At 42.8% G+C, this 21,942-nt stretch overlaps 1 pseudogene; it reads left to right on the forward strand.

Moving 5' to 3' along the window:
• Positions 480-1,867, forward strand: EIF4A1P7 (eukaryotic translation initiation factor 4A1 pseudogene 7; annotated as a pseudogene).

The raw sequence follows: 21,942 nt of genomic DNA on the forward strand, positions 1-21,942 counted from the left end.
ACAAGTTATTCCAAAACTTAGTGCCTAAAATAATAATAAACATTTATTATCTCATGCTTTCTGTGAGTCAGGAATTTGGGAATGACTTAGCTGGTGGTTGTGGCTCAGTCTGTCACAGCACTGCAGTCATCTGAAGGCTTGACTGAGGCTGGGGGATCTGCTTCTAAGATGGCACACTCATGTGTTAGGCAAGCCAGTATTGGCTGCTGGTAGGACGCCTCAATTTCTCATCACGTGGACCTCCCTATACAGCTGAGTGAGTGTTCTCATGACAAGGTAGCTAATTTTCCCAAAGTAAGTGATCCAAACAAGTGAGGCAGAAGCTGCAAGGTCTTTTTATAACCTAACCTCTGAAGTAACACAGTCATTTCCTCAATATCTTACTAGCTACATGGATCACCAGGTGGTGAGAATCATTGGGGACCATCTTAGAGGCTGGTTATCACAGTAATCAATGTGCATTAAGAACTAATTTGTTGCTAATTTCTAAGGATCATGTCGCAAGTCAGGATTCCTGATCCAGAGACAATGGCCCTGATGGGATGGAGCCCAAAGGTGTCATCGAGAGTAACTGGAATGAAATTGTTGACAGCTTTGATGACATGAACCTCTTGGAGTCCCTTCTCCATGGCATCTACGCCTATGGTTCTGAGAAGCCCTCTGCCATCCAGCAGCGAGCCATTCTACCTTGTATCAGGGGTTATGTTGTGATCGTTCAAGCCCAATCTGGCACTGGGAAAATGGCCACATTTTCCATATCAATTCTGCATCAGATTGAATTAGATGTAAAAGCCACCCAGGCCTTGGTCCTAGCACCCACTTGAGAATCGGCTCAGCAGATACAGAAGGTGGTCATAGCACTAGGAGACCACATGGATGCCTCCTGTCACACCTGTATTGGGGGCACCAACGTTCATGCTGAGGTACAGAAACTGCAGATGGAAGCTCCCCATATAATTGTGGGTACCCCTGGCCATGTGTTTGATATGCTTAACTGGAGATACCTGTCTCCCAAATACATCAAGATGTTTGTGCTGGACAAAACTGACGAAATGTTAAGCCATGGATTCAAGGACCAGATCTATGGCATATTCCAAGAGCTCAACAGCAACACCCAGGTAGTTTTGCCATCAGCTACAATGCCTTCTGATGTGCTTGAGGTGACCAAGAAGTTCATGAGGGAACACATTTGGATTCTGGTCAAGAAGGAAGAGTTGACCCTGGAGGGTATCTGCCAATTCTACATCAACATGGAACGAGAAGAGTGGAAGCTGGACACACTGGGTGACTTGTATGAAACCCTGACCATTGCCCAGGCAGTCATCTTCCTCAACACCCGCAGGAAGGCGGACTGGCTTACCAAGAAGATGCATGCTCAAGATTTCACTGTCTCTGCCATGCATGGAGATATGGACCAGAAGGAATGAGACGGGATCATGAGGGAGTTTCATTCTGGCTCTAGCAGAGTTTTGATTATCACTGACCTGCTGGCCAGAGGCATTGATGTGCAGCAGGTTTCTTTAGTCATCAACTATGACCTTCCCACCAACAGGGAAAACTATATCCACAGAATCGGTCGACGTGGACAGTTTGGCCGTAAAGGTGTGGCTATTAACATGGTGACAGAAGAAGACAAGAGGACTCTTTGAGACATCGAGACCTTCTATAATACCTCCATTGAGGAAATGCCCCTCAATGTTGCTGACCTCATCTGAGGGGCTGTCCTGCTTCCTAGCCCCAGCCAGAGTTCAATCTTGGGGGCTGAGGAGCAGCAGGGCTGCGGGAGGGAAGGGAGCCAAGGGATGGACATTTTGTCATTTTTTTCTGTGAATAAATGTCACTTTTTGAGGCAAAAAAAAAGAATGAATTTCTCCAAAAGAAAAAGTTGCTCATATGGAGAGCATAAAACACACTGTGGCATATATTCTATAAAATATGGTGTGGTAGATTGTTACAGTGATGGTCCTCAATACATCACATCTCCCTGAACTCATGTCCTTGCATAGTTCCCTCTCACATTGATGCTAGGTTTGGCGGTGTGACTTGCTTCAATCAATGGGATATTAGCAACAGTGATACAAGCAGAGGCTTGTAAAGCAAATTTACAGTGGGACCTACTCTCTCTAGCTGGTGGGGATTCTTCCTTCAATATGTAAACAGCCCAAGCTAGCCTCCTAGAGGGCAAAAGAACACATGGAGGGAGACTCAGCCAGCCCAGCCTTTCTAGCCAACAAGACCTGGCCACATGATTGAGCACCGCCAACACCACTCAGAGCACAGATTAGCTGTCCTAGCTTAGCACAGTCCAAATTACTAACCCATAAATTAGTGAGCAAATGAATAGTTGTTTTAAGCCACTGTGTTTTGAGATCAGGGGTAGGTAAATGGCATTACTGTTGTTTTTGTTTCCCTCTCCGTGACCCTCACCCTCACTGCTGCCTGCCAGGCCAGGTAGTGGTTGTGAGGGAGGAGGATCTGGGAGAAGACCTGACCAATGACAGAAATAGCCTCATTGGGAATCAACTGCACTTCATCTGCACGTCCCGATGGTCCTATCAGTTGCTAATAATCAAAAGCCAAAAGCCTTTCACTGTGTACTTAATGGAATCTTCTGTAAAACCCTTTCCATGTACCTGAACACTACCTGGGTCACTGCTACAGGCTGTGAAAGAACTTTACAAGCCCAGCTATGTGCAGAGAAAGGGACCCTTTAAATATTTTTTAGTCCATACATGCTAGCCTGTTATCTTTCCTCAAAGCAATCCATTCTCACCAACATATAGGAAAGAACTGAGTCCCAAATTCATTCTTATGACCATGTAATTTTTCTCTATGGAAATATTACTCAGCTCCTTCATGGGGGTGGGGGAGGGGAATGGGATGTTTCTACCCGTTTCATTGCACTTGCTATCTTTCTTGATAGATGAGTACCTAAATGAAAGTACTCACCTATTATCAATAGGGCACATGTATTGAGCTAATGGTCTAATAGAAGAGATGGATTTTTGCTGCTATCCTCTCTCCTTTGTGATCAACACATGTATGTAGAGAAAGCTCTGAGGCTCTTTATTCTAAGCAAGTGTGGTGAACAGTAACACCTGTCACTTGGGCTTAGGGAGGCATCAAGAAACAGAAAATCAGACAGACATGATTTGCATAATGGTTCCAGAATTTAGGGTTTGATTTTGGGCAAGCTACTTAACCTCTCTGAGTCTCATCTAGAAAATAAGGACGAAGCTATGTTCCTCACTGGCTTCAGGTAAGAATCCCTAAAGTGCTGTGTTTAAATCGGGGCCCATGATAAATGGTCTTAGTATCTGTTGGGCTCACTCCACTTTCCCTTCTTTCCCTTTAGTCACCATATGCATTGTGGGAGCTAAAGGCAGCACTTCAGTTCTGATGCTTTGTGTGACCACAGGCCAGAACCCAAGAAAAAACAGAACATGATTATTGGTGGCTATAATCAAGAATGAAAGGATCCCTTATTCTAGAAGTTTGCAGTGTCAGATGGAGCTCACTGATTCAGACTGACAGCTACAACTGGGCAAACCAGCCCGAGACAAACAACAAATGTATTAATTAGTAAATGTAATGAATAAAGAAATGGTGCAAGAGTTTTTGGTGTGGTTGTGTGACGAATGACCCGTGCATGGCAGGTCCAGACAGGATGGGTTTTGGGGGTGGGGGGAGGAGAGAACCATCATCCTGGTCCAGTTTACTGGGAAAGGCTCTGTGAGAGAAGCGTGATTTTAGAATTATTTGAATATTGGTAGGAGGGGGCTTCTGGAGTGAAGCGGGTGTTCCAGGTAGAGGGTGTGGCCTGAGACACATTTCAAGGGACAGTCAGAGTAGAAGGAAGCAAACGCCCATCCACACATGATATTATTCAAAATCACTAGTGAAGGAGCAAATCACAGATGGGGTCTGTGATTTTCTGAAAAGTTGGCAAATTGAGTCTTTCAGAAATGCACAAATATGTTTCCTCTAACATGGGTATCAGTTCAGTTTAGGGCCCAGACTTAGAGTGAGGTGCAGGGGGCTTGGAGCCCTTCTGAAGGGGACCAGCAGTTGAGGCCTCCATGAGGAAAAGATAAAAGGATGGGGCTAGTTTACTGGGGACGGCACATGGTGTAGGAGAGACCTGGTGCCTTCTCATTTTCTTAATGATGGCTCTGGAAAACATGTAGTTGCTGCTTCTACTCCTGTGAATGGCAGAGTGGTAGAAAGGACTTCAGCTTCAGCAGAAGAATATAGAAGAGACAAGGAAAAATCAGTGTCTCATATGACATGCAACAAAAGCACAGTTTAATCAGAGGCCCACAAAATTACAATCCTAGGAGTTCTTTCCAGACAGGAGAAACCCGCTCTGTCTTCATGCCTCATTTGTTCATAATTCCTCAGTTTATGACATTCAATAAATGGACATTTACAAGATCCAAAGTCATAATACAGACTATAACCTTAGCATACTCAACACCCAAGGATTTGCCATGATATATTGTTCAGGTCCCATCAAGCTTAAAGTTTCAGGAAACCAGCTCCCTCCTCCTGGAATTTTCTACTGGATTTCCCATAGACTCTGCTGCAGTTCTGCTCTCTGTTCCGCTCAGACAGATCTTTGCCTTTCTGCAAACCAGCAATTGCCTTCCAAGGGGGCTCACACAAACTGCAACTGAGCTGCTGGAGAGATATTCCCCTGTCACAGAATGTGGAGGAGGGAGATTGGAGGTGGAGGGTTTCTGCAGCAGCTAGGAGCAAACATATTCACACTCATAATTTTTGGGGGTCAATTCTTAAAATAGATTATATAGATGTTATGGCAGAGACTGCTCTGTGTTCACCAAATCCTGTCTCTTCTTCCTCCCAGCATACAGTGAGTCGACATTTTTCAGTTTATCTTGCAGCCAGTTGGAGCTGTATGATGAATCCTGGGGAATTAGGAACGATGTGTGCTGCTTCCAAGCCTGGCCCTTAAAAAAACTCCTGCAAGATCCTCCATGTTCTCTCTCTTTCTTTCTTTGACTACTGGCCAGATCCAGAAGATCTAGTGAAGGACAATAAGCCCTTGGGGACAGCAGACCCGACCATCTGGGTCTGGTCAGCAGCTAAGGGAAAAAAGAGGACTATAAAGCCCTAGGCAACAGAAGAGCCTCTTGCTGGAAGGAGACTGAGTCCTGAGTACGTGCATGGAACATCCCTTCCCCCACCGATTCACATGGGACTACGATAAGAGAAAAATAAACTTTGATTGTGTTGGGCCACTGAGATGTAGGAGGCTGTTTGTTACAGTACTTGGTCTACCCTGGCTAATGCACATGGAGATTAGAGAGTGCCTCTGGTCTGGGCTCTATACACCAGTCTGTGTTAAAATGGGTGCCTCAGGGGAAGGCCTGGCCAAGCAGCCTGAGCTATGAGGCCAGAAATGATTAATGGAAATAAATAGATGTTTAAAGAAATTAGGGGTAGCATCAGGTGAAAAAGTAAGGTAATACCTCAAAATCTATTCCATGCCAAGAGAATTCAATTTGTAAATAATATTATTTTCAACAAATGGTGCTAGGGCAACTGAATATCCACATGCAAAAGAATAAAGTTGGATCTTTCCCTTACACTGTACACAAAAGTTCCCCCAAATATATCACAGACCTAAATTTAAGGGCTAAAGCTACAAAACTCCTAGAAGAAAACAGGAGTAAGTCTTTGTGGACTTGGGTTAGGCAAAGCCTTCTTAGATATATAATGCCAAAAGCACAACAACAACAAAAATAAATTGGACTTCCATCAAAATTAAAAACCTTTGTGATTCAAAGGACACAATCAAGAAAGTGAAGACAAGCCACACAGTGGGAGAGAATAATTACAAATCATATATTTCATAAGCAACTTGAATCCAGAAGTGTTACAACTCAACAATAAAAAAGACAACTCGATTTAAAAATGAGCAAATAATTGGAATGAAAATTTCTCCGAAGAAGATATACAAATGGCCAATAAGCCCACGAAAAGATGCTCAACATTACTAGTCACTAAGAAAATACAAATAAAAGTCACAGTGAGATACCATCTCACACCCACTAGGATGCCTAAAATAAAGAAATCAGATAGCAAGTATTGGTGAGGGTGTAGAGAGATTGGAACTCTTGTACATTGCTGGTGGAAATGTAAAATGGTGCAGCCTCTTTGGAAAATATTTTGCAGTTCCTCAAATAGTAAACACAGAGTTAGCATATTACCCCCACAATTTCACTCCTCGGTAGGTGAATACTCAACATAAATGAAAACTTATGCCCACATAAAATCTTGTACACGAATACTCATAGCAGCATTTATTTATAATAGTCAAAAAGTGGAAACAATCCAAATATCCATCAACTGATGAAAGGATAAAAAAAGGTAGTATATCCAACCAAGGGAATATTATGCAGCAATAAGAAGGAATGAAGTATGTACTGACAAATGCTGCAACATGGATGAACCTTGAAAACATTATATTATGTCTAAGAAGTGGGTCAGAAAAAGCCATCTATTGTATGGTGCCATTTACATTAAATGTCCAGATAGACAAATCTCTGGAGACCAAAAGAAGACTAGTGGTTGCCTCATTCTTGGAGGGGAGAGGAGAGGGAAGACTAAGGGGAAATGGAGAGTGATGGCTAATGTGCACAGGGTTTCTTTTTTTTTTTTAATTATACTTTAAGTTTTAGGGTACATGTGCACAACATGCAGGTTTGTTACATATGTATACATGTGCCATGTTGGTTTGCTGCACCCATTAACTCTTCATTTAACATTAGGTATATCTCCTAACGCTATCCCTCCCCCACACCCCCACCACACAACAGGCCCTGGTGTGTGATGTTCCCCTTCCTGTGTCTGTGTGTTCTCATTGTTCAATTCCCACCTATGAGTGAGAACATGTGGTGTTTGGTTTTTTGTCCTTGCGATAGTTTGCTGAGAATGATGGTTTCCAGCTTCATCCATGTCCCTACAAAGGACATGAACTTATCATTTTTTATGGCTGCATAGTATTCCACGGTGCATATGTGACACATTCTCTTAATCCAATCTATCATTGTTGGACATTTGGGTTGGTTCCAAGTCTTTGTTATTGTGAATAGTGCCACAATAAACATACGTGTGCATGTGTCTTTATAGCAGCATGATTTATAATCCTTTGGGTATATATCCAGTAATGGGATGGCTGGGTCAAATGGTATTTCTATTTTTTTTTTTTTTTTGAGATGGAGTCTCGCTCTGTTGCCCAGGCTGCAGTGCAATGGCATGGTCTCGGCTCACTGCAACCTCCGCCTCCTGGGTTCAAGCAATTCTCCTGCCTCAGCCTCCTGAGTAGCTGGGATTACAGGCATGCACTACCACGCCTGGCAATTTTTGTATTTTTAGTAGAAACAGGGTTCCACCATGTTGGCCAGGCTGGTCTCAAACTCCTGACCTCAGGCGATCCGACTGCTTCAGCCTCCCAAAGTGCTGGGATTACAGGCGTGAGCAACTGCGCCCAGCCCCAGGGTTTCTTTTTAGGGTGTTGAGCACGTTCTAAAATTGATTGTGGTGTCAGCTGCACAACTTTGTGAATATACTAAAAATCATTGTACACTTTATATGAGTGAATTATATGGTCTGTGAATTATATATTAATAAAGCTGTTAACACTCTCTTCTGAATTATTTTCTATTTCATTACATAATGAAATATTTCCAACCACAGAATGTCATAATGCCCCAATACACAACAATTGTGCTGCAAATGAAGGGCCAATATTATGGTCCAGCACACATTGCTCAGGATAGCTGTCCTCAGAGGCCACCAAGCTGGACTGCCCACAGCACCCCAAGGCCCATGAAAACTTAAGTAAATCTATTCCTAAGAAACTTCTGAGGGTCTTTTGCAGTGATGTGCTAGTGAATGTTTAACAGCTGACTCTGGTGGGGGTGGAAAAACATGAGGCCACTAAGCATAGGGTTGAGGAAGAGATGGGTGGTAACATTCCACCTATAATATTTACACCATACAGATTTAACAGACATAAGTAACCTCAAAAGCATACCAAATAGTAAAACATGTAATAATTATGAGTTTTGAGCATTTATCACTTTTATTTTTAATATAATTTATTTAATTGTAAGTTTGTATAATTTTTAGTAACAGATGTGTTTATCAGCCGCTTGGTAAATTTCCTGAAAACTTAATGATTGGCTCTCGTGAGCTGGTCTCCAGCGACCACTGGGCCTCTTAAGTTTATTTCAGTCTGTGGCTGGTTACAGGAAGAGAAGGAACAAATGAGCAAAGTTTCTCTCTCTTCTTACACTCCCATGTCAAGCATGCCTTTCCCTTGAATCAACAGAACTCCCCTGCCTCCCTAATCCAGAATCAGGTAATTCCCGGAAGACGGTAAATTCATTGGGAGTTTCCTTTTCCTTCTTATTTAAAAGAAATTTCTGGCTTTATGGTTCTACTCACCATATTCACCTTCATCCCCTAATACTCTGCCCCATCCCAGGTCCATGCCCAAGTAAAAATAACAAGGGAACAAGAAGAGAGCAGGCAGGGGCTCCAGCTCATTTAATACCTTCTGTATATTCTTCAGAAGGATGATGCTCAGGTCTCTTCAGTTCACAATCAATACATTTTGAAGTCACAAGTAATTTGGCTTGAATCTATCACCTCCCCACCCAGAGTCAAGTGAACCATGAATGGCAATTCCGTGTAAAAGGTCTGCAGACATTTTCAGGTTGTTGGCCCTAAAAGCTTGAGGTAATATGTTTAGAACAAAATTCAGGCTTGTTTTGTTTGTCTCTTTGGTTTGTCAAAACAAATTGAACCTTTTAGTACAGAGCGAGGGCTGCTCATGGCCTCCTAAGAAGACAAGGGTACAGAGGCCTCTCCCTTCTTCTCCTAGTGAGCTGGTGCCCATCCCGGGCCCCCCAGGGAGGATGAAGCAGTCCTACCTCAATGCCCCCACAGCTCTTTGTTTACTTTTCCATTACTGCACTCAGTCAATAAATACTGAGAACCCAGTATGTGCTAGGTAGCTAGATATACAGTCATGAAATGAATAAGTGTCTGTCCCCAGGGGCCCTAGAAGTCTACTGGGAGAACTCATCACTTTGACTTCTGGCTCCTCATGTACCTCATATACAGGTTTAAGTCTGCTACGTGAGGAGTCCGTACCACACACCATGATGGGTTTCTAGAGCACTATCGTGGGTACTCAGAAAAGTTTGTTGAATGAATGAAATGGATCTATAGGGGAGGCTATTCCATGGGCCCAAGTCTCTGAAAGCTCTTAATGAAAGATCTACCCTAAAGGCACCTGAAAGTCTTTAATCTTCCAGAATCCAGCCAGAAATATCCCAACTGAAATCTTCCCCATGACTTACTCACGTATCCTTAAGCCACAGATTGACTTCATAGCCACAGATCCGTGAATTAATACGTAAATCAGTAACTTAAGAGCAGCTTAAATTTCTGGGTCAGAGACACCCTGAAGAGAGAGCAAAATGATTGTTTAAAAGACATTTTAAGATTCCTGGAGGCTGCAGGAAGAAGGAGACTTCTGGGAGGGGGTCTATTTTCAACCAGCCATTGCATAAGAACTTAAGAAAAGGGTTTTTTGTTGTTGTTGTTAATTGAAAGAAAAAATGGGAACCAAAGAACAGATAGGTATTTTCCAAACCCTTTCAGCCATGCCTATGTATCATCCGCATCACTGTGAATATATGGGACCCAAAATCAAACACCCGCCAAGAGATGCATAAACACTCAGAGCCCATGTACACACTTACACATGTGCAGTCACCGATGACCTGGAGGACCACAGGGGTCTTTTGATTCTAACAAATGAGCTCTGGAAAAGAGAAAAGTATTTCATAGGCAACACTGAATAGCAATTTTACAGGCATAGTTAGTATAAACCCACTGGACTTTTATTAATTAGGTTCATTCTCTCATAACATTTAAAATGATCTCCTTGATGTCTGATTTTGCACAAATCAAATGGGACCTGCCTATTTTGGAGCATAGGTTATCTGATGTAGTGAATGCCTCTTTTTGTCTATAGAGAAATATTCCGGAAAGGTCGTTGTATATGTCCTGTCCAAAGTAGCTTTAAATCAAATAGGAAAAACAATTAGAAAACAAAAATTTATCCACATAATGCATCACATGACTCTACGAACCACTAGATGTCTATAGCAATAGTAACTGCTTCACTTGTACAAGGAAGTACTATCTTCATGGTCATTCAAGAGATGGAGCTTTAGGTACTGCAGCTCTGCATCCATGGGATCACAGAATGAGTTAGAAGGCATCTTACAGGTCTCTTTTAGAGATAGGAGGGCTTAGAATTAGAGGAGAGTTGAATATAGGGGACACTTCAAAAAGTAAGCAAGGAAACTGAGTATTGTATAGGCACGGAAACTGAGGCCTGCAAAGATTTTGATACTCATATGGGGTCCATCAGCATCCTTAATTAAATTAAATTAAATTAAATTAAATAGGTGTTTGCCTTTGCAAATCTACTCTCCATCTTTCTTCTGCTGTTTGTTCTAGGAGGCTGATCTGCATGGGCTACGTCAGTGGTTCTCAAAGTGTGGTCCCCACTTGTTAACTTGTTAAAATGTTAACTTGTTAAAAATGCAAATTCTCAGGCCTCACCAGAACCTACTGAATCAGAAACGGTGTGGTGGGGTCCAGCAATCTGTGTTGTACCAGGCCTTCCAGGGAGTGCTGATGTTAGAGAGCCCTGGACGACATCAGACAGGCCGCTTAGCCACGGGTTTCCCTTTCGGCCTTGGCAGGTGAGGAACACTGGCAGGAGGTCCCAGATAGGAGTGAGTTCAGAGTTGTTTTTTTCCCAGGTTCGTTCCCTGTGGGATTGTCTAGGACTGGCTGCAGCAGGGCACCAATGTCACTGTACTTCTGAAGGCAGTCACTGAGCAACGTGGCCCCTTCCTTCCAGAGCCAGTACTCACTCCCTCTCCTCACCCTGTAGGTCTGGGGATGGTAACAGTCCCAGTTACTTGCTCCAGTACACTGCTCTCTTCCTCATGGTTCCCCTACACTCCACTCACATCTTTGTAAAGTGTCCCTATATTTAGCCCTCCTCTAATCCTAATTTTGATGTGCCATCTGGGATATTCACCTGGTTCACATCCAGATAGAAAGTTGCTTGTCTGGGTCATGGGAATGGAGCATGGCGTGGCCCCACAAGACTTTTCTCAGATGGGATAAGAATCTGTCTTATCCCAAATGGCACTGGGATATTCCTAAGTACCATATTTATAGCAAAAACTCATAAAACATATTGATAACAAATATGACCATGACATTTATTGGGTCATTCCCAAGACAAAATGTATTTCTCCCCATAGATGGCCTATCTTGAGTTTATTTTTTTCTTCCTCTCCCCTCTCATTGGTAGGTACCACGTGGCAAAAAACTTGGCTTGCCCTGGCTCGAGACCCTCCCCAAGAGCCCTGATTGGTCTTTATTTCCTAAACCCTTGGCTCACAGACTCTTTTCTCTTAAATCTACCCTGCTTCTTCTTGTTTTTTATATTGTGATAAAATACACATAATCTAAAATTTACTACCTTGATTATCTTTAAGTGTACAGCTCAGTAGCATTAAGTACATTCACATTGTTGTGTTATCATCCACCACCATCCTCCCACAGAACTCTTTTCCTCTTGTAAAACTGAAACTCTGTATCCATTAAACAGCTCCTCACTTCCCCTCCCTAATCCCAGGCCCTGGGAACCACCATTCTACTTTCTGTCTCTATAAATATGATGACTAAGTACCTCGATATGAGTGGAATCTACTGTATTTATCTTTTGGTAACTGGCTAATTTAACTTAGCATCATATTCTCAAGGTTCATCCATGTGGTAGCACATGTCAAAATTTCCTTGTAAGGTTAAATAATGTTTCATTGCATGTATGTATCACATTTTGTTTATCCATTCACTGTTGATGGGCACTTGGGTTGGTTGCTTCCACGTTTCCGCTATTATGAATAATGCTACTATGAATATGAGTGTACAAACATCTCCTTGAGATTCTGCTTTCAATTCTTTGGGGTATACACCTAGAAGCAGAATTGCTGGATCATATGGTAGCTCTATTTTCAATTTTTCGAGGAACTGTCATACTGTTTCCTATAGTGGCTGCATCATTTTACATTCCCACCAACAGTGCACACGAGTTCCAATTGCTCCACATCCTCACCAACATGTTAATTATTTTTTATAGTAGCCAGCCTAATGAGTGTGAAATGGTATCTCACTGTGGTTCTGTTTTTATAAATCTGCCAGGTTATAATGCTATTTCCTCCACCTAGAATGTAATCCCTCTATGCCTATTAAATATCTTGCCAGTTGAAATCAATCTCCTCCAGCTTCCTATTATCTTAACATGTTGTACTCTTATTTTAACACCTACCACCCCCTCCCTTATGCTTTCAATGGTTTTCTTTTCTTTTTTTTTCATTTGCCTGTCTGCTCAATTTGGATGCAAGTTTGAGGACAGATGTCTTGGATTGTTCATCTTTATATCTCCCAGTGTGTTTAGCCCAAGGCATTACAAACTGCAGGCTCTAAAATCCCAACTGACTTGAAATACTGAAGGCCATCCACTTAGTGGAAAACCCAAAACCAGACCCAGGTTTTGGGCCTCGCTCTTAGTTCAATACTTTTTCTGCTGGTGAGGGACATTAGAACCACATTAAAAATAAACATGTGTCATGTCTGAAAAAGAGATGTGACTTCCTGACATTGATTACTCATTTTCAATTTCTTCCTTAACGTATTCACACACACACACAAACACCAACATTGTGCTTTCAAGCCCACAAAGTTCATGCTGTGGTCCACGAAGATCAGAGTAACGGGCTTTCTGGCAATCAGCTCTGAATTGGTGCCACATCCTGCACTAATGGCCCTGCCTTTAGACCAGATGGAGGCAGATGTTTTGTAGTTTTCCTCATTGTCGCTTGCCCTGGTGTGTTTTGTTTTCATCCTGATGTGTTTCAGTGCGCTTCCCCTCCTTTGAGGAATTAATGCGCATGTATTTTCTATCCTGATAAAGATATCTGTGTTCTCGCAGAAAATTCAGAAGCTAAATTAAAGGGCAGGAAGTCGATCTAGCCTGGTGTTACAGTCTTTGGCGATACTGTAAGGAACTGGCCCAAGCATCTTCCATTCATCCCCCATTTTCCTTTAATCTGGAGAATGGGTTCATTCACTGTTTTGCATTCATGTCAACTCTTCACGGTTTTATCCACAGGGCTTTCCCAGAGATTAGGATTCAGCCCCTGATCCAGCGGCCAACATACTGCTGACAAGACTGCCGTAAGCGCCAAGGACCACTCAGATCTTCAAGAAAGCAGCTCTTCTTATCACATCAGGGAAGAGGCCTCTGTTTGGCAGTAAAGCACCAAGTGGGTTGTGGTGAGATCACAGGATAAAGGCTACTTCCTGTCTTCAGTCTCTTTGATTTCTTTAAAGACTCTCCAGAGGGAAGTAGATAGAGATGGGAAAGCCCACATTCTTCCTTTTAAAGGACTTCTCAGGGAACTCACTGCTCTTAGCCACTGTCCGGGTTTGAGTTAGTCATCTTACTGTTAGTTCCATACACCCTTTGAATAGGCCTGTGATCGTGTTAGAGGTCACACGGACAACCTAAAGAACTTGCATTCAACCGTTTCCTTCCTAATTGACATTGCTGGGCCTCAGTGGCAGGGCCATGTGTCAACAGCCAAAACATCTCCATTGTGTTTTTACTTGTAAGTTAATGAATCAATGGCTGTTGATTTTGGAGGCATATCTCGATCCCTTAGGTGGGTGCTTCTGCCCTCCCAGCCACCCTACTTTCCTGTCAGTGCTTGTCCCGGTGGGAATACCACACAGCTCATCTCATCTGTGTCTTGGAGAGATAGGGCATGACAGGGATTTTCCAGGACTGTGCTGCCATTTTCCATGAAAACATCCAGGCGTTCCCTTGTTAGGCATTACTTCCTTTTATCACCGGGCTCCCTCCTAGTCAGGGGTACTTTTCTCAGTCAATTTCAAGCCTCAAGGTCATAGATTCCTTGATAAAGACTTCCCTCTCATTGTAGCTGCTTCTTGCCCTCATTCCTGAGGACTAGACCCCAAGCCAGAAGACAAACACTGGGGGCAGCTGCCATCATTTGATTTAAAAATACACTGAAGTGGGAGTCCAATCTGAGATTTAAGGTTTATTCTCTGTACCTTCATTCACTGGCGTGTCCATACCACGATAATAAGACCATCCCATGGGACAAGAAGAGGAGGGAGGCAATTACGGAACAGGGTTTAACGGTAAAGACTTTAGAATCACACTGCCCAGGCTCCTTACTTGTCTCTGCCATTGTTTGTGTGACCTCAGGCAAGTCTAAAAGTCAGTTTGTTCATCTGTAAAATGGAGATATCTCATTTAATCTCCACAACAATCATGTAAAGCTAATTCCGCTAAAACATTTAGTGAAGTATTAGGCACAGAGTAAGTAGAGGATGTTGTTTTTATCTCATATTAAGTCATTAGTCATCTGAAAGAGTGCATATATATAACCTGGTATGGTTATAAGAAGTCATTTCCAGAGCCTTCTTCCATAGTCAGCTTTGACCACTGGAGCATCAAGCAGTACCCGTCAGGTTTATTCTCAAGCCCCCAAGTGTTTGCTATTCTTGTTTTATAAATCCTGTTCCTCTGTTGCCCAAATCTACCTTTGTCCAGAGGCTCCCTGTCTACCCCATTCAGAATCTGATGGGTGAAACTACATCAGTGGGGAAGCTATTGTAAGATGTGAATTAATTCAGTTAGAGCATACGCTGGCCCCAGTGTGAGTCATTAGGGGCAAAACCTTGAGCCAGGCAGACATGGTCTCTGACCTCAAGGAGCTTACAGTTTGGATTAGAGAGTAATATAGTTCCCTCTGCTTCAGCCACAACAGCTTCTTTACCGTCTCCTGAATATGTCAAGCACATTTCTGCCCCAGAGCTTTCGCAGTGGCTGCTTCCACACTTGAACATTACCCTCCCACACACCTTCACGACGTGTTCCCTCCATTCCTTCAAATCTCTAATCAAATGTTCTCTTGTTGTCATTTGTGGGATCTCCATGTGATGAGCCCCTGGTCAGCTGCAACAGTGTTCTGGCTAAGTCACCTCTGAGGCTACACCTGTGTCTGCATCATCCTTCCTCCCCCATACTTCACAAATGTCTCCTTGGCCATTGAAACCACCTCCACAATCTTCCTGTCTTCCCTGGAATCTCTTCAGCAAGAAAGGTGATTTCCCTGTGACCCCACCCTGACTAAGTATGTTCCACCCACAATGCATTCCCTCAAATACACCTTCCTTGTGGCTTGCACCAAGTGAATTGTCTGCTCTTTGCCCTTGGTTCCTCCGCATGTCTGTGGGCTGATTTATCAGTATGCTTCCAGAGGTCAAGAACTATCTGTTTATTTATACAAGTATCATTACGAGGTAAATGCATAAATAAGCCAAACGAGAAAACACAGATAAACTAAGCGCTTATCCCAGAGAAGTGACAATGGAGAGTAGTTACTGGTAGTAAAGGACAGATTGTTTTCAATAATGCAGTTTTTCTTTGAGAAGTAGTGTGTGAATGTGGTATTCAAGGTGAATCCTCTCCCCAGCCACATGTATCCCCATTTGTAGGTGGCCACTGTTGCCTGTTGCATGTGCTTTTTTTTTTCCAGAGGTTTTATAACCAGCTTAAGTAGGGGTTTCACTATGGAAGACAAATTACTACAATCATGTGGTACTACAGTCACATGTGGAAATGACTCTCTTTCCTTCTCTCCTCATCCCAGCCAATGCCTTTCTTCACTTTCCCACTGAGTTACTTCAATCCAAAGGAAAAAATAAATCAACGTAACAAAAAGAGTTTAAATGAATGTACACTCCCCACTATAGACAACTTTATAAGGAATTGCACTTAGCTGAGAATAACAGGGTCCTCCTAGCTGCTGAGATGTTAACCTGAAGCCAATTCCTCTATGATGTAATTTCTTCACTAATGTAAAGGTATATGGAATTATAATATTGGATATAATTACGTATTTTAAAGTGTATTATAGGCTGGGCATGGTGGCTCACATCTGTAATCCCAGCACTTTAGGAAGCCGAGGTGGGTGGATCACCAAAGGTCAGGAGTTCGAGATCAGCCAGGCCAACATGGCAAAAGCCCATCTCTACCAAAAAATACAAAAATTAGCTGGGCATGGTGGGTGCCTGTAATCCCAGTTACTTGAGAGGCTGAGGCAGGAGAATCGCTTGAACTCGAGAGGCAGAGGTTGCAGTGAGCCGAGATGGTGCCCCTGCACTCCAGCCTGGGTGACAGAGCGAGAGACCTGTCTCAAAAATAAATAAATAAATAAATAAAGTCTATTATAGAAAAAAATCCATCTACACTAGACACCAGTAAAAATGTATATATATATAATATATATATGTATACTTATATATAAAGTATATGTATATTTTAAGGTGGTAGGACTATAATTTCTTTTTGCGGGGGGGATGGAGTCTCACTCTGTTGCCCAGGCTGGAGTGCAGTGGTGCAGTCTCCGCTCACTGCAGCCTCCACCTCCTGGGTTCAAGCGATTCTCCCACCTCAGCCTCCCGAGTAGCTGGGACTACAGGCACCTGCCACCACACCCAGCTAATTTTTGTACTTTTAGTAGAGGTGGGATTGGCCAGGCTGGTCTCAAACTCCTGACCTTAGATGATCTGCCCACCCTGGCCTCCCAAAGTGCTGGGATTACAGGCATGAGCCACCACGCCCAGCCTGATTTTTATGTTTAAATTTTGTTTTTTTGTATTTTTACAATGAAAAATATAGAATATACTTAACAATTTATGATATTTTGTTTGATTTAATTTATCTGGCTCTCACTCTGCATGTGTATTTAAATATTGATTATACTGCATTGAGGAAAGAAAAGTAATAAACTCTTGGATTCAAATATATTCAGCAAATGAAATCCATTCCCTTCCTGTCTATATATTTATTTCTTGGGAGCACAGAGAGTACCATACAAAGTGGTGATTCTCTTGCTTGCCTGAATACTGGGATCACCTGGAGAACTTTAGAAAAAGACTAATGTTTAAGTCCCAAGAGCAGAGATTTTGATGTAGTTGCTCTGCAGTGTGGCCTGGTTTGGGACTTTTTAAAGCCTCCCAAGTAATTGTAATTTGCATTGAAGGTCGAAAACCTCTGATTTAAAAAAGAAAACAGGAATGAACACCACTGAGAATTCATCAGAATAAAGCATCTAAGAGAGTAACTTTATAGAATACAACCTACCTTGTTTTGCAGTTCAAGAACGAAAAATGCTCCAGAATTTAAATAACTTATTAAAAATAATAATGACTCCCGCTACTTCATACGTGCCTGGCAATTTTACATCTGTCATCTCTAATCATCATAAGGACACTGAAAGGTAAATAGCATGAGGCCCATCTTTTAAAATTAAATAGTTACATATTTATTTATTTATTTCCTTCCAACTTTTATTTTAGGTTTGGGGGTATATGTGCAGATTTGTTACATGGGTGAATTGCATGTTGCTGGGCTTTGCTGTGCAAATTATTTCATCACCCAGATAGTGATCATAGTACCTGGTTAGGTAGTTTTTCAATCCTCACCCTCCTCCCACCCTCCAACTTCAAGCAGGCCCCAGTGCCTATGGTTCCCTTCTTCATGTCCATATGTACTCAGTGTCTAGCTCCCACTTGTGAGTGAGAACATGCAGTATTTGGTTTTCTGTTCCTGCATTAATTTGCTTAGGATAATGGCCTCCAGCTGCAACCACATTGCTGCAAAGAACATGATCTCGTTCTTTTTCATGGCTGTGTAGTATTCTATGGTGTACATGTACCCCATTTTCTTTATCCAGTCCACTGTTGATGGGCATCTAGGTTGATTTCCTGTCTTTGCTATTGTGAACAGTGCTACAATGAACACATGCGTGCATGTGTCTTTATGATGAGTGATTTTTTTTTTTTTTTTTGAGACAGTCTCACTCTGTCACCCAGGCTGGAATGCAGGGGCACGATCTCAGCTCACTGCAACCTCCGCCTCCCAGGTTCACGCCATTTTCCTGCCTCAGCCTCCTGAGTAGCTGGGATTACAGGCACCCGTCACCACGCCTGGCTAATTTTTGTATTTTTAGTAGAGACGGGGTTTCACCATGTTGGTCAGGCTGGTCTGGAACTCCTGACCTCGTGAGTGATGAGTGATTTATATTCCTTTGAGTATATACCCAGTAATGGGATTGCTGGGTCAAATGGCAGTTCTGTTTTAATTCTTTGAGACATCTCCAAACTGCTTTCCACAGTGGCTGAACTAATTTACATTCCCACCAGCAATGTAAGTGCTCCCTTTTCTCTGTAATCTCTGCTATTTTTGGAGTTTTTAATAGTAGCCATTCCGACTGGTGTGAGATGGTATCTCACCATGGTTTTGATTTGCATTTTTCTAATGATCAGTTATGTGGAGGAGTTTTTCATATGCTTGTTGCCCATGCGTATGTCTTCTTGCATGAGACCCATTTTAAAGATGAGACTTAAAGAAGTTAAGTAATTAGCCCAAGGACACGCAGCTCTACTAGGAGGGGGCTGGAGACTTAAACACAGCTCAGACGCCAAAGCCTGTGCTTAGCCACTACCCTACATTGCTTTCATCTAAAAAAAAAGATGTAACTGTCATGCAGAACAATGCATAAGGTATGATTTAACTTTTGTGAACACAAACAGCCTTCAGTGTACAGGCATCAAAAAAAAAATCTGAATGGATGTTTATCAAACAGCCGACACCCTTCTCGGGGGACGGGCCTACCACTTTTAACTTTAAATACTTACAAAATTTCTGTTGTGTGAGTTTTTTTTTTACAATGAACATGAATTTTATTCGCAATTTATCATTTATAAAAAGTATACATTGCACTAATCACCAATTATTACTAAATTGGAATATTGGTAAGAAGCCAATTATTGGTAATAATAATTGGTAATAATTACCAAGTATTACCAATTGGAGATAACCATCACTACTAGTTACCAATACTAGTTACCTCCATTACCAATATGGAGGTAACTATCAATACTAGTGTGGTGGTTAAGGGCAAACATCTAGAGCCAGGCCAAGAGAGCAGCATTCCTATCTCCCTTTGCTGTCACTTCCCTAAACTTTGAGCCCTTTTCTGTCAGCCAGGGAGAATCATAGTACTCACCTCAGAAATTTTGTGAGGAATAGATACCCTCACAAAAGGGATATTACCTATATTATATTACTTACCATCACTGTAGTAATAATCAATGTATTTCTTTTCACTGAAATATCTTTAAATTTCTTATTTAAACATGGCAGCCATCCTGTGGTAACTCCCATTTTTGGGAAACCAAGATCTAAATCATCCAATACATGAATGGCTATTAAACACAGCTCAGAAGATTCTTAATTCCAAACCTTTCCTTGCACCAGCCAGTCCTGCTCCAACTCTTTGGGTTCTCACGAGGTTCCTGATTTGGACAATGACTATGTGATTTTTTTTTTTTTTTTTTTTAAGACAGAGTCTCACTCTGTCACCCAGGCTGGAGTGCAGGGGCGCCATCTCGGCTCACTGCAACCTCTGCCTCCTGGGTTCAAGCGATTCTCCTGCCTCAGCCTCCCGAGTAACTGGGATTACAGGTGCCTGCAACCACGACGACTAGTTTTTGTATTTTTGGTAGAGACGGGCTTTCGCCATGTTGGCCAGGCTGGTCTCGAACTCCTAGCCTCAGGGGTTTGCTGCAGGGGGACCCAGCCCCTGTTTTGATCAAACCTCATTTATAAAACCCTCCTCAGCCACCCACATCATTTCACCAGAAGTGACCGCAGGAGACCAACAACCCACCTTGTGATTTCTAAACGTGAGGGCAGGCCTGGGTCAAAAGCAGGGACATGCTTTTGTTTTGAGCATGAGACAGAAAAAACAAGCTTTGCAGTCGGGTTGGCCCTGGACGGTAAGGATGGGGAAGCCACGGAGACACGTGTTAAGTCAGCAGGAGCTGATGTGAGCCAGATGTGATTGTATGGGCAAGACCCAGGGGAAAGTGCCTGGTTTTCGGCACTCCTTAAAACCCTGCAACTTCTCATGTAAAAGACCCGATATGTAACCGCTACTTTCTGACATGTCCTGAGGAACGCCCGCTTCCTGGAGGAAGTCGGTTGCAAATTAAAGGAGGAAGGAGAAATTGATCTTCCTCCGCAGGAAGCAATGAGATCCTCGATGTCTCCATGGCCGTTTCATTTGAACACGTAGCTGTGGAAACCGGGTTTTAGGTCGAGTTAATCAGGAGCATCTACGTAGGAGAAAGTTCCCAAGCAGGATGCCGAAGTGGAAGGCGCAGCTGGCCGAGCGCACGTAGGGGTTCAGCTGTCCTGCCGGGCCTCGAGGGCAAGTGGGATACAGGATCCAGATTAAAACGTGGTGCCAGTATCCCAGACAGAAAAACAGACACGTTCGAGAAAACACGTGCCTTCTCTCTCACACACACAGAGGATGGGAACACGAACCACAAGACCCTGCCCTATAGACCAGATACCTTAATGATAAGAAAAAGATACACGTCCTTGTAAGAGTGAGATCAGAGAACATTGAAAAGTTAGCAGCCCTCTTACATCCATTTAGGGCATTTGGGACAAGCATGAAATTGAAGGGCCAGTCCATTTTTTATTTTAATAAAGGGAGAAACATAGTTAAGGGAGAGTGTGTGTAAAGGAAGATGAAATCTTTGTGAGCATGAAGGACGTTATCAGAGATTCTGTGAGCATAGGAGTGTCTGTGAATGAAAGAGCTCATCAAGGAAAGAGGTCAAGGCCTAGGAGCAGGTTCCTGGGATGAGAAAGAATGAAACAAGAATCAGCAACAGGGGCAATGAGAGAAAGGGTGACACAGGGAAGACGTGAGAGGCGGCAGTTGGCATTTAGAGTGGAGCTCATGTGGACCAGGTGATCTTCAGCTATGTCCTCTCTCTGCTCCCCCTGAACCTGGGGTAGCTTCTTAAATTCTCTCTAAGGATCCGGAATTCTTTTTTTCTTTTCTTTTCTCTTTTAATTTCACTTTAGATTCGGGGGTACATGTGCAGATTTGTTACGTGAGTATATTGCATGACGCCGAGGTTTAGGCTTCTAATGATCTCATTACCCAAGTAATGAACATAGTACCCAATAGATCGTTTTTCAACCCTTAATCCCCTCTCTCCCTCCCTTGTTTTGGAATCCCCAGTGTCTCTTGATCTCATCTTTGTGTCTGTGTGTACCCAATGTTTACCTCCCACTTAGAAGTGAGAAGATGCGATTTTTGGTTTACTGTTTCTGCATTAGTTCACTTAGGATAATGGCCTCCAGCTCCATCCATGTTGCTGCAAAGGACGTGATCTTGTTCTTTTTTTTATGGCTGCATGGATGCAGAATTCTGAAGAACTCAGCAAGGTTGAGTAACATGAGTAGCTTGCACAGTCATTAGAGGGGATAGAGATGGAATTCCAACTCAGTTCTGCCTGATGCCAAAGCCCCGCCGCCATGTTGTTAACCAAGGCGGAGAGGAAGCCTGAGACAGCTTAAGTAAACAGCCTAAGAAAGTTGAGAGCAATGTGCAGGTATTAAGTCAGCCTGTGACTGACCCTGTCAATGACCCTGATATTTTAAGAGGGACTGGCTTGTGTTAGGCCATGCGTGTTCTACGTGACACAGTGGCTGGGTAGGATATTTTAATGTTTTGGCATATCGTCTTTCTGGGTGTGGTGCACTATTGTTACACATGCCGCACACCCAGACAACATTGTGTGAGAGTTGCTGCTTACCTGGAAACTCCGGGCACCAGGATTTGAACTGCA

This window comes from Homo sapiens, chromosome 13 (assembly GCF_000001405.40).
Source record: "Homo sapiens chromosome 13, GRCh38.p14 Primary Assembly".
NCBI lineage: Eukaryota > Metazoa > Chordata > Mammalia > Primates > Hominidae > Homo > Homo sapiens.